Source organism: Homo sapiens, chromosome 17 (genome assembly GCF_000001405.40).
Source record: "Homo sapiens chromosome 17, GRCh38.p14 Primary Assembly".
Classification (NCBI taxonomy): Eukaryota; Metazoa; Chordata; class Mammalia; order Primates; family Hominidae; genus Homo; species Homo sapiens.
The window spans coordinates 32,157,268-32,170,642 of record NC_000017.11 but is presented as its reverse complement, the minus strand read 5'-3'; the positions used below and the strand labels follow the sequence as shown (position 1 = coordinate 32,170,642).

The following is a 13,375-nucleotide window of genomic DNA, read 5'->3' as shown; positions in this document are numbered from 1 at the left end:
GAAGACAAAAGTTACTGGTTAATGGGTACATAGTTTTTGTTGAGGATAATAAAAAAGTTTTAAGTACAGATAGTGGTGATGGTTACACAACATTATGAATAAATTTAATGCTGCTGAATTGTATACTTACAGTTAAAATAATTGTTACATGTATTTTAACCAATTTTTAAAAGCAGCAATAATAAACCCATTTTATATTAATATTTTTTTAAATCTCTTTTTTTTTGTGAGATGGAGTCTCACTCCGTTGCCTAGGCTAGAGTGCAGTGGCGCAATCTTGGCTCACTGCAATCCCCACCACCTGGGTTCATGCGATTCTCGTGCCTTAGCCTCCAAAGTAGCTGGGATTATAGGCATGTGTCACCACGTCCAGCTAATTTTTGTATTTTTAGTAGAGACAGGGTTTCCCCATGTTGGCCAGGCTGGTCTCGAACCCCTGACCTCAGGTGATCTACCTGCCTCGGCCTCCCAAAGTGCTGGGATTACAGGCGTGAGCTACCGCGCCCAGCCATCCTGCATTATTTTTGATAGTTGTATTAGAATCCACTGCATGATGTATTATAATTTATTAAAATAAACTCTTAACAAGGAACATTGGAATGGTTTCCAAGTTTTAACTTTTTTTTTTTGATTCAGGGTCCCACTCTGATTGCCCAAGCTGGAGTGCAGTGGTGTGATTTTTTTGGCTCACTGCAGCCTCAACCTCCCCAGGCTTGGGTGATTCTCCCACCTCAGCCTCCCGAGTAGCTGGGACTACAGGCAGATGCCACTACAACCAGCTAATTTTTTTTGTATTTTTAATAGGGACAGGGTTTCGTCATGTCGCCCAGGATGGTCTCAAACTCCTTGACTCAAGCAATCCACCTGCCTCAGCTTCGCAAAGTGCTGGGATTACAGGTGTGAGCCACCACACCTGGCCCTAAGTTTTCACTTTTATAAACAATGCAACAATTAGTATTTCTACAGAATAAATTCCTAGAAGTAGAACTCAAGTTAGTGCACAAGATCTTTTTTATTTTTAACTGATGTTGTTAAATTATCTCCAAAAACGAATAAACCAATTTACATCCTCATAAACAGAATATCAGAATGCTCATTTCTCTGCATCTCTACATTCTTTCTTCCATAGAGCATCATATTTAAAGGGTTAGTAACAAGGTAAAAGCAAAGAAAGTCTCCTATTACATTTTCTATTCTAGCAATTTTTTTATACACAAACTTTAAAATCTTAACTTTTATTATGAAATTTGACTTGTATTCCCGTCACTTTCTGATCATATAATTACTATTGTTAGACATTCATCAACTAAATCCTTTTGTGAATCTAGAGGAAAACAGTCCACATGCTTACTAATCTCTGCCATTATCAACAGTTTCCAAAATTAAAGTCTAAATATAAAATAAATGAAATTTTTTGAGTTAAGAAAAGTCACATTCCCTTCTTAAATGATTAAAAGGGTGAACACAAGTCCAGTCTCTGGGAAAATAATGAATGTCTGGAACACAGGAAGGAGAGTGAAAACAGCTTAGAGAGGGCTATGAACAACCGAGTACCGCTGGTAGAGGGATAGATCAGATGATTTAACAGGTGTCTTCGAGCTCTGATTTCTACAGGCCTTTTCAATTGACTTGTGTAAGAAGGTTTAGGCCTTTTTCAAATGGCTGACCACAGGTCACATTTCACTGAGTTCTGATGATGTCCGTGAATCCATCATCACAGAACTGCTAGAATCTAGTTAACAATGTCAGTTTATTCAGCTCCCCAGAAAATTTTCAGATAAAGAATCTGGGATCCAGAGACAGTCATTTTCTAAGTCTTACTAAAAGATTAGTTGCAGATTTAAGAGAATAACCCATCTCCTGATGGCCAAGCCAATGCTTTCTCTTTCTTGTGCCATACTTTAAAAAATATTGCTAATACAAGTTAACAACACCGAAAGGGAATGGTGACCTCTAAAGCCATGCATCAGAATAATTTATGAGGCGTATATATAAAATATATAAAAATATATTTATATATATAAATATTATATATTACATATATGTGTTTGTGTGTGTGTATATATATATGTCTGGTGCAGTGGCTCATGCCTGTAATTCCAGCACTTTGTGAGGCTGAAGTGGGAGGACTACTTGAGGCCAGGAGTTTGAGACCAGCCTAGGTAACATAATGACACCCTGTCTCTACAAAACAGTTTTTAAAAAATTAGCCAGGTGTGGTGGCACACACTTGTAGTCCCAGCTACTTGCGAGGCTGAGGCAGGAGGACTGCTTGAGCCCAGGAGTTGGAGGCCACACAGAGCACCATGATCTTACCATTGCACTCCAGCCGGGGTGACATGGTGAAACTCTGTCTGGAGGAAAAAATACATGCATGTGTATGTGAGTGTGTGTGTGTGTGCATGACATAACTGGATGTCATGTTAGCAGGCACGAAAATAATCTCCTTGTACGTCTCCATCTGAGCTCTTGGGTGACCAGGTGTATTGTCAGTGAGCAGTAATATTTTGAAAGGAATCTTTTTTTTTTTTGAGGAGTAGGTCTCAACAGTAGCCTTAAAATATTCAATAAGCCATTCTGTAAACAAATGTTTCCTTTTCTTTTTTTCCTTAGAGATGGGGGTCTCTGTCACCTAGGCTAGAGCATAGTGGGATGATCATAGCTCACTGTAGCCTCAAACTCCTGGGCTCAAGCAATCCTCCTGCCTTAGCCTCCTGAGTAGCTAGTATCACAGGCCACGCCACCACATCCAGTGAATTTTTTAATTCTTTGTACGGACAGGGTCTCACCATGTTGCCCAAGATGATCTTAAACTCCTGGCCTCAAGCAATCCTCCTGTCTTGGTCTCCCAAGTTGCTGGTATTATACGACCCAACCAAGATTTTCGATGTAGATGAAACAGCCTTGTATCAGAAGAAGATGCCATCGATAGCTAGAGAGCAGATATCAATGCCTGGTTTCAATGCTTAAAAGGATAGGCTGACTCTTGTTAGGGGCTAATGCAGGTTGCTGCCTTTAAGTGGAAGCCAGTGGTCATTTGCCAGTCTGAAAATCCTAGGGCCCTTAAAAATTATGCTCAATCTGGCCGGGCATGGTGGCTCACGCCTGTAATCCCGGCTACTTGGGAGGCTCCACTAAAAATACAAAAATTAACCGGGCATTGTGGTGGGTGCCTGTAGTCCCAGCTACTCGGGAGGCTGAGGCAGGAGAATGGTGTGAACCCGGGAGGCGGAGCTTGCAGTGAGCCAAGATTGCACTACTGCACTCTAGCCTGGGCGACAGAGCGAGACTCCGTCTCAAAAAAAAAAAAAAAATTATGCTCAATCTATTCTGCCTGTGCTCTATAAATGGAATAACAAAGCCTGGATGACAGCACATTTGTTTACAGAATGGTTTATTGAATATTTTAAGGCTACTGTTGAGACCTACTCCTCAAAAAAAAAAAAGATTCCTTTCAAAATATTACTGCTCACTGACAATACACCTGGTCACCCAAGAGCTCAGATGGAGACGTACAAGGAGATTATTTTCGTGCCTGCTAACATGACATCCAGTCTGCAGTCCATGGTTCAAGGAGTAATTATAACTTTCAAGCCTTATTATTTAGGCTTACTATTTACATTGTGTAAGCCTATATATAGCTGCCATAGATAGTGATTCCTCTGATGGATGTGGGCAAAGTAAACTAAAAACCTTCTGGAAATAATTCACCATTCTAGATGCCATCAAGAACATTTGTGATTCACAGGAGATCAAAGTAACATTATCAGGAGTTTGGAAGAAGTTGGTTCCAACCCTCACATGACTTTGAGGGATTCAAGCCTCAATGAAGGAATTGCAGATATGGTGGAAATAGCAAGAAAAGAGCTAGAATTAGAAGTGAAGCCTAAAAATGTGACTAAATTGCTGCAATCTCATAATAAAACTTGAACAGATGAAGAGTTTATTATGGATGAGCAAAGAATGTGGTTTCTTGAGACAGAATCTACTGGTGAAGATGCTGTGAGCAATATTGAAATGACAACAAAGGACCTGGAATATTACATAAACTTAGTTGATAAAGCAGCAGTAGGGTTTGAGAGGATTGACTCCAATTCTGAAAGAAGTTCCACTGTGGGTAAAATGCTATTAAATGGCATCACATGCTACAGAGAAATCTTTAGTGAAAGGAAGAGTCAATCGATGCAGCAAATGTCATAGTTGTCTTATTTTAAGAAATTGCCACAGCCACCCCAGCCTTCAGGAATCACCACCCTAATCAGTCAGCAGCCATCAACCCTGAGGCAAGACTCTCCACCAGCAAAAAGGTTACAACTCACTGAAGGCTCAGATGATCATTAGCATTTTTTGACAATAAAGTATTTTTAAATTAAGGTATGTACATTTTTTAGATATTACATTACACACTTAACAGACTACAGTATAGTATGAACATAACTTTTTTTTTTTTTTTTTGAGATAGAGTCTCGCTGTGTCACCCAAGCTGGAGTGCAGTGGCACAATCTTGGCTCACTGCAACCTCTGCCACCCAGGTTCAAGCGATTTTCATGTCTCAGCCACTCGAGTGGCTGAGATTCCAAGCATGTGCCACCATGCCTGGCTACATTTTTTTGTATTTTTAGTAGAGATGGGGTTTCGCCTTGTTGGCCATGCAGGTCTCAAACTCCTGGTCTCAGGAGATCCGCCCATCTTGGCATCCCAAAATGCTGGGATTACAGGCATGCACCACCACACCTAGCCTATAAACATAACTTTTATATGCACTGGGAAAACAAAAAAATTTGTGAGCCACTTTACTGTGGTAGTGTAGAACCAAACTCACAGTTTCTCTGAGGTATGCCTGTTTACTTATTTATATATGAGTATAGACTAACAGATTCCTCTATTATCCTATTATTTTATGGTTTGTCATTATTTGGAGGTTCAAGTTCCATTTTACTTCTAAAAATGATATTTATGCAGGTATAAGTCAACATGTGCAATATGATCCCATTTTAAAGATAAATATGTATGTGCATAGAAAAAACCACTGGATGAATATATTATACTAAAGTGGTTATCTTGGAAAATAAACACAAAAATTTTTTAACTAGAAAAGATCAGTAACTTTTTTTTTTTTTGAGACAGGGTCTCTCTCGATCACTCAGGCTGGAGTGCAGTGGCACGATCTTGGTTCACTGCAACTTCCACCTCCCAGGTTCAAGCCATTCTTGTGCCTCAGTCTCTTGAGTAGCTGGGATTACAGGCATGTGCCACCATGCCTGGCTAATTTTTGTATTGTTTTTTTTTTTTTTTTTTTTTTTTTTGAGACGGAGTCTTGCTCTGTCGCCCAGGCTGGAGTGCAGTGGCGCGATTTCGGCTTATTGCAAGCTCTGCCTCTTGGGTTTACGCCATTCTCCTGCCTCAGCCTCCCAAGTAGCTGGGACTACAGGCACCTGCCACCGTGCCCAGCTAATTTTTTGTATTTTTAGTAGAGATGGGGTTTCACCGTGTTAGCCAGGATGGTCTCGATCTGACCTTGTGATCCGCCTGCCTTGGCCTCCCAAAGTGCTGGGATTACAGGCGTAAGCCACCACGCCCACGCCCGGCCCTGTTTTTTTTGTTTTGTTTTGTTTTTTTGTTTTTTGTTTTGCTGTTGTTGTTGTTAGTAGAGAGGGAGTTTCACCATGTTGGCCAGGCTGGTCTTGAACTCCTGGCCTGAAGTGATCCACCTGCCTTGGCCTCCCTAAGTGCTGGGATTATAGGTGTGAGCCACCACACCCAGCTTATTTATTTTTGAGACAGGGTATCACTCTGTCACCCAGGCTGAAGTGCAGTGGTGCCATCACAGACCACTGAAGTTTTGACCTTCCAGGATCAACGATCCTCCCACCTCAGCCTCCTGGGTAGCTGGGACTACAGGTGTGCACTACTATATACCTGGCTAATTTTTTGTATTTTTAGTAGAGACAGGGTTTCACTATGTTGCCCAGGCTGGTCTTGAATTCCTGGGCTCGACATCCATCTGCCTCAGCCTCCCAAAGTGCTGGGACTACAGGTGTAAGCCACCACATTCAGCCTCAGTAAGTATTATTTTTAAGGTAATTTTTGGTATTAAAAATTGGGATGTTAGTCTGGGCACGGTGGCTCACGCCTGTAATTCTAGCACTTTGGGAGGCCGAGGTGGGCGGATCATGAGGTCAAGAGATCAAGACCATCCTGGTCAACATGGTGAAACCCCGTCTCTACTAAAAATACAAAAATTAGCTGAGCATGGTGGCACACGCCTGTAGTCCCAGCTGCTTGGAAGGCTGAGGCAGAAGAATCGCTTGAACCCGGGAGGCAGAGGCTGCAGTGAGCCAAGACGGCGCCACTGCACTCCAGCCTGGCGACGGAGCGACACTCCGTCTAAAAAAAGAAAAAAATTGGGATGTTAAAGATGACAACTAAAATTTACCCAAAAGTTGACAGGTTAAATGCATTCTTTCATCCTTTGATAAATATTTTTTAAGCAATTCTATAAGCCAGGCACTATTCTTTTCGCGCAGTGGCGCGATCTTGGTTCACTGCAACCTCCGCCTCCTGGATTCAAGCAATTCTCCTGCCTCAGCCTCCCTAGTAGCTGGGACTACAGGTGCACACCACCACGTCTGGCTAATTTTTGTATTTTTATTAGAGACAGGGTTTCACCATGTTGGCCAGGATGGTCTCGATCTCTTGACCTCGTGATCCACCTGCCTCGGCCTCCCAAAGTGCTGGGATTACAGGGGTGAGCCACCACGCCTGGCCACCAGGCACTATTCTTCATCCTGGGGATACCACTGATCATGGCCACTAGGTCCTCTCTACTTTTACATTACATTGTAACAGACTTAGATAGTTATCACCAATATAGTTAACATTCTTTGTTTTTTTTTTCCCTTTCTTTTTTTTTGAGATGGAGTCTTGCTCTGTCACCCAAGCTGGAGTGCAGTGGCACGATCTCAGCTCACTGCAACCTCTGCCTCCCAGATTATAGTGATTCTCCTGCCTCAGCCTCCAAAGTAGCTGGGATTACAGGTGCGCACCATCACGCTGGCTAATTTTTGTATTTTTAGTAGAGACGGGATTTTACCATATTGGCCAGGCTGGTCTCGAACTCTTGACCTTGTGATCTGCCCACCTTGGCCTCCCAAAATGCTGGGATTACCAGGCGTGAGCCACCACACCCAGCCTTGGTTAACATTCTTTTTACATATCTGGATAAAAAGAAAAATTTTAAAAATGTACCATCTCCGATTCATCATTCTTCTGCATTTAGCAGTCAAGATCTGTCAAATTTTCCTTTGAAATTTTTAACATTCATTCCTTCCCTCACTGTTCCCCTATTTCCCTAATTATGGTACTTTTATTGAAAAATCTCCCAGTCCCAAATTTCCTATCCCTTTCTCCAGTCTCTCTCCTCATTAATCTACCAACAATATAAATGCTGGTCCATTTTTCTTACATGCTCTTTTCATTTTCTGACTCACCTGATCAAACGCTTTCTTTGACTCTCAATTATCTACCACACCAAAATGAAATCATTCTACTGGCCTTTGAATATCATAAATAATCTATCCCTAGCTCACCTACCTAATCTCATTTCCCACTATCCCCCACTCAATTTGCTCAAATAAGGCCATTCTGCATTGTTTAAGTGCAAACAAGCCATGATAAATCCTGCCCACCTCACAGTTTCCCTCATCTAAACATCATTCCTGCTTTCCCCTCTACTTTCCCAAATGTTATTAATAATTATCTTTCAAGGATGGTTCAAATTCTACCTATAGCTCTTATTTCCTCCACTTCCTCCTTTGAACTACTTTTGTGCCACACAATTTATATTAAATTATAACTTAAATTTATACCCAAGATACATACTTAATATGTATGAATCTACATTGACACAATAACCAAATATTTGGAAACACTTGGATAGTGAACAAAATTTTCCAATTTTACATGAATGGGAAAAGGGCCTCTAGCACATCAACCAGACTGAATCATCTGATTTGATTTCACCTGGCCCAAGCACAGTGGTACTGCTGTTATTTTCGACATCACCACTAACGAAACTGGTCCCACCTCCTGGAGATTCTGGAACTAGCATTCAAAGATTTTCTTAACAGCAACCGGAGAACTGGGAATAACAGGTCGCTACTGAGGCAGTTAAAATATAAACATATGCTAAAATTACTGTGTTCAATTTGTTTTTGGTAAAAAATAAAATGTTAAAATTTCAAATAATATAAAGGAGGGAATGATATAACATAGAATACATCTGGTCTTTGTCCCCAGCTTCTGGCACAGAGCATCAGAATCCCTTGGAATTTCCTATATGATAGGAGTGTCTTTTATTATGAATAATGAGTCCCTTTCAACCACAGAGTTCATCCTAATGAGGTGACTCACGTGGGGAGGAGGGGGCAACAGAGCATGCTAGCAGGATGGGAGCTGGTCACCAGAAAAACCAACTACATGATTAGAGGGTCAGAACTCTCAGCCCCACCCCAAAACCTCCAACAGGGAAACAGCTGGAGTCAAGCACGTGGCCAATGACTTAATCACATCTACCTACTGAAAACCCATATAAAAACTCCGAACATCAAAGCTCAGGAGAGCTTCCTGGTTGGTGAACAGGTCAATGTACCAGGAAGGTGGTGCACCCTGACCCTACAGAGAAAGAAGCTCCTGAGCTCGGGACTCTTCCAGACCTTTCCCCATGTACCTCTTCAATCTGGTTGTTCATTTGTATAATCGTGAATATAGCACTTTCCCGAGTTTTGTGACTCACTCTAGTCTGAGGGGGTAGTAGGAAGCCCTGAATTTGTGGTTGGTCAGGCCAAAGTGCATGCTGCTGAAGTAAGGGCAATGTTGTTGGAAACCTTGCTCTTTAACTGGTGGTGAAACTGCCTTTGCAAAATTATGACAGTAAGAGAAATCTGACATAGTTGACTCCATCTTGCTTCTAACCTCCAAGCTGTCCCTGGTCATTCCTGGGAACAGGCCAAGATAACCTTGAGAGGAATTTAAGTTTACTGTTTAATCTTAAAGCAAGAATGATAATAGCACTTCCTAAAACTAAACCACCTTTGTAAAACTAGTGAAAGGCCACAAGGTTAGGATTATGTGAGGGACCTGAATTCTGCTAAGATACAGGTGTAAATGATAACCAACCATTGTTCTGGAGGTCAGGAGATTTGTAACTTTCCCCAGTTACTCCTGTGATAACATCACGATAATAGAGCCTACAATTGGCATTTTGAGATGTTTTTCATATTTTTGCATTTCTGGTGAAGGACTGACTCTACCGGAACCCACAACTTGTGACTCAGTCGATCCTGTGGCCCCCAATCAGCGGCTGACTGAGCACGAGGAACGTTTTCCACATCCCGATGATTTCATCCTCAACCAATCAACATCCTCCATTCTCTAGCCCCCACCCACCAAACTATCCTTGAAAAACCCAAACCTCTGAGCCTTCTGGGAGACTAATTTGCGTGATACATTTAGTTCTCCTGCATGGCCAGCCTTGTGTTAATTAAGTTATTTCTTTACTACAATACTGTGGTCTCAGTGAATTGGTCTGTCTGTGTAGCAGGCAGAAGAACCCACTGGGCAACTATAGTGGATCTGAAGCTAACTCTGGGTGGTGTCAGTGTTACGGGATCGTTGGGGAGTCACTTCACCAACTGGAAACTTCTGTGGCCAGTGGTGCCTCTGTCCAAGTTTTGCTCTGGCCCACTGGGCTCGTTCCACCCACTCAGCCTGGCAGGCTGTGCTCAACTCACACGACCAGCCTGGATCCCACGCCTGCCAAAGGTGAGCCAGGCACAAAGTGGTGAGGGATGTGTGAGCAAGCATGGGGTCTGACCTCTGTGCACAGCCAGGCACGCCGGCTGCTGCTGTGGGGTGGGCAGCTCCAGATGCCAGCTTGGGCACCATCTCCCTGCGAGGCTGCAACTGGACCAGGCGCATCACAAGCAGCTTCCACAGCTGGCACTGGAGAACACAGTGGTGCCCGGAAGCTTGGCGACTCCAGGAACCACAGGGCCCCAAAGAGGGAGTCACAGCCCTGGCTAAGGGAGCTCCCAGGTCTGGGCTCCCTGAAGGACTGCAGCTCTTCTCTCCTTCTCTACACTCTCAAGGTAGCAAGCAAGGGGCATGTTTCAACCCTGTTTGTGTTACAGCTCTTTTAGCCCCACCATTCAGCAGGTCCCGAGTTCTTGTCCTGCATCCAGGAAGAATGAGGTAACAGACAAGTGGAGGCTGAGCAAGACAAACAGGAGCTTTACTGAGCGACACAACAGCTCAGAGGAAACCTACAGTGAGTACCTCCTCTCTGTAGCCAGGGTGTCCCAACAAGTGTTCAGTTCTCAGCAGAGAGGATAGCTCCTCTCTGCTTGGCAGGCTGTCCCGAAGAATGTTCAGCTCTCAGCAGAGAGGGTAGTTCCTCTCTGCAGGCAGGTCATCCCAACGTCTCTTCAGTTCTCAGGAGAGAGGGTAGCTCCTCTCTGCAGGCAGATCATCCTGTCACCCCTTCAGCTCTCAGCAGAGAGGGTAGTTCCTCCCTGTAGGCAGGTCATGCCGTCGTCTCTCTTCTGGTCTGGCAGAGTCCGGGAGGCTTTTTATGGGCCTCAGAGGGGAAGAAGAGTGTGCCGATTGGTCCATGGGCAGCCATGGGAGGACCCGCGTCACAAGTTCCCACACTGGTCTGCGGGATCAGCAACCCAGCCCCCGGGCTTCAGGCCCTCCCAGCCTGAAGGTGGGGCTTCACGGGGCATCTGCCCCCTTCTGCCCAGGAGCCTGTCTGCCTCCTGCTGGCATTCAAGCTGCCAAGGCCATGCCAAAGGGTACCTGCAGGCCTACACCAAGCTGCCCTCAGTCCCCATCTCAGCCTCCCTCCCATGCTCGCCAGTGCCTGAAGTCTAGAGGAGGCCAAAGTGGCAGGGGCCTGGCATGTCACCACTGTCCCAAGCATGCGCACACCCGGTCAGGCTGCAACAGCACCCAGGCTTGGCCCCAACCTCGCTCTGAGATCAGAACGGGCACCAGGAGCAGGGAGAGGCCAGGCAGCAGGAGCAGACATCTCCAAGCCCACAGGCTTCCTGGGCCCCTTAGACTGCAGAGATGCCTGGGTCCACAGCCACGGCTGGGCAGCTGCAGCTGCGACTGGGAGGTGGGGCTCTTGCCAGCTTCCAGCTCCTGCCAGCTCCATGGAGCGCGGCACCGCTCAGGGCCCAGCTCCACCTCGGGGCTCCTCTCTGTCCACCCCTCCATGCCTGATCACACTGCTCCCCTGCCAACGGGTAACTCGGCCCGGCCCCATCATGGTGGCTCTGGGGATATCAGGCTCCAGGGGGCTCCCAGGTGTGGGCTCTGGGGACTACATGCCTCCTCTCCACATTTTCCCTGCAGCAGGAGCAGGAGAGGTACAGGTGGCGTGGCAGCCCCGGCCAACCCCGCACAAACAAACCCGATGATCTTGAGGCTGGCCCCACGAGTCCCAGCTGCGCCTTCAGCCGGGTGCTCATGGGCTCCTGAGACACGGTGTGGGGAGAGGTTGAGGCCATAGTGGAGGCTCCAGGCCTGGAAGCAGGTCCTGCCCAGCCATGTGAGGTAGGAGTGATGCACTCAGCTGCCTCAGGGATGCAGGGCACAGGGGTCCCACCACCACCACTGCTGCTCCAGCAGCCACTCCTGCTGCCACCGCTTGCGCCTCCCTGCTGCAGCTGATGGCCACTCCAGATGGCCGCCACTGCCATCATTAGAATTGAATTGAATTGTATGACACTCAGTTGGTATAGGAAAATTGGTGTCGGAACTCAGAGGGTACGTGAGCTCTGTATTTATCAAAAGAACTTATAGCTAAAATACCAAGAAACGGCCGGACACGCTGGCTCATGCCTGCAATCCCAGCACTTTGGGAGGCTGAGGTGGGCGGATCACGAGGTCAAGAGATCAAGACCAGCCTGGCCAACATGGTGAAACCCCGTCTCTACTAAAAATACAAAAATTAGCCGGGCGTGGTGGCATGTGCTTGTAGTCCTAGCTACTAGGGAGGCTGCGGCAGGAGAATCGTTTGAAAGCGGGAGGCAGGTGTTGCAGTGAGCCGAGATTGCATGGCGCCACCGCACTCCAGCCTGGTGACAGAGCAAGACTCTGTCTCAAAAAACGACGACAGAGGGAGACTCTGTCTCAAAAAAACAAAAAACAAACAAACAAAAACTGAGAAACACTGTAATAGATTTTTTATCCAAGAGCACTAGTTCCACCCAGACTCATGTCTACCCTGCCTATAACAAACTAGGGAAAACACTAGAACATGCAGGGTATTAACTTACGCTTCTACATGACCCATCTTTTTTGTCTAGACTCCTACTATTAGTTCATTTTATAATTATTGACCTGATTGTCTTCTAAGGACAAAGTTTTGTCTTACATACTATGTGGGGATAATATGGAAAATATATTAACTAAGACAAGGCTGAGCACAGAGTGGCTCATGCCTGTAATCCCAGCACTTTGGGAGGCTGAGGCAGGCAGATCACTTCAGCCCAGGAGTTTGAGACCAGCCTGGGCAATGTGGCGAGATTCTGTCTCTATAAGAAATACAAAAACTAGCAGGGCCTGGATTCCTAGATACTCAGGAGGCTGAGGTGGGAGGATCACTTGAGCCCAGGAAGTTGAGGCTGCAGTGAGCCATGAAAGAGCAAGACCTTGTCGGAAAACAAAACACCCAATCTATAACTTGGTCTCTAGGAAGAAAAAATAATCAGTGATCCAATTAAGACACACGTATTCTTTTTTTTTTTTCTGGGCGGCGGGGTGGGAGCGGGGGACAGTCTTGCTATGTCACCCAGGCTGGAGTACAATGGCATGATCTCAGCTCACTGCAACCTCCACCTCCTGGGTTCAAGCTGATTCTCCTGTCTCTCAGCCTTCTGAGTAGCTGGGATCACAGGTGTGCACCACCACACCTGGCTAATTTTTGCATTTTTAGTAGAAACGGGGTTTCACCATGTTGGCCAGGCTGGTCTTGAACCCTAACCTCATGATGCACCCGCCTCGACCTCCCAAATGGATTATAGGCATGAGCTACTGCGCCCAGCCAACACATGTATTCTTAACTCTGATTCATTTGTGTAATATCTAGGCAACCTTCCAACATATCACCAGTGATCTCCTGAAGGACTTCTTAAACCTCCTTGATGTCACATTTCGTACCAGCTACTGAAGATCTCCAGAAAGATTAAGAAACAAATATTTCATTATCACCCATAGGAAACTCCTCAAGGGCAGAAAACATGTCTTTCTTGTTTACTGTTGAATAACAGTGGCTCCAGCTCCCATGGCACTTAATAAATGCAGCTGT

General features: G+C 45.3%; 1 protein-coding gene across 19 annotated transcripts in view; it reads right to left on the bottom strand.

Moving 5' to 3' along the window:
- The window catches only part of RHOT1 (ras homolog family member T1), an 83,226-nt gene that overhangs the window by 55,085 nt on the left and 14,766 nt on the right, over positions 1 to 13,375 (bottom strand). For 2 of the 19 annotated variants that reach the window (XM_047436363.1, XM_047436357.1), the window contains exon 1: positions 10,336 to 10,603. The exons of the other annotated variants lie outside the window; for them this stretch is intronic. The gene's annotated coding sequence lies outside the window, so the exon portion shown is untranslated. Of the gene's footprint in view, positions 1 to 10,335; positions 10,604 to 13,375 lie in introns of those variants that run through there. 19 annotated transcript variants of the gene reach the window in all.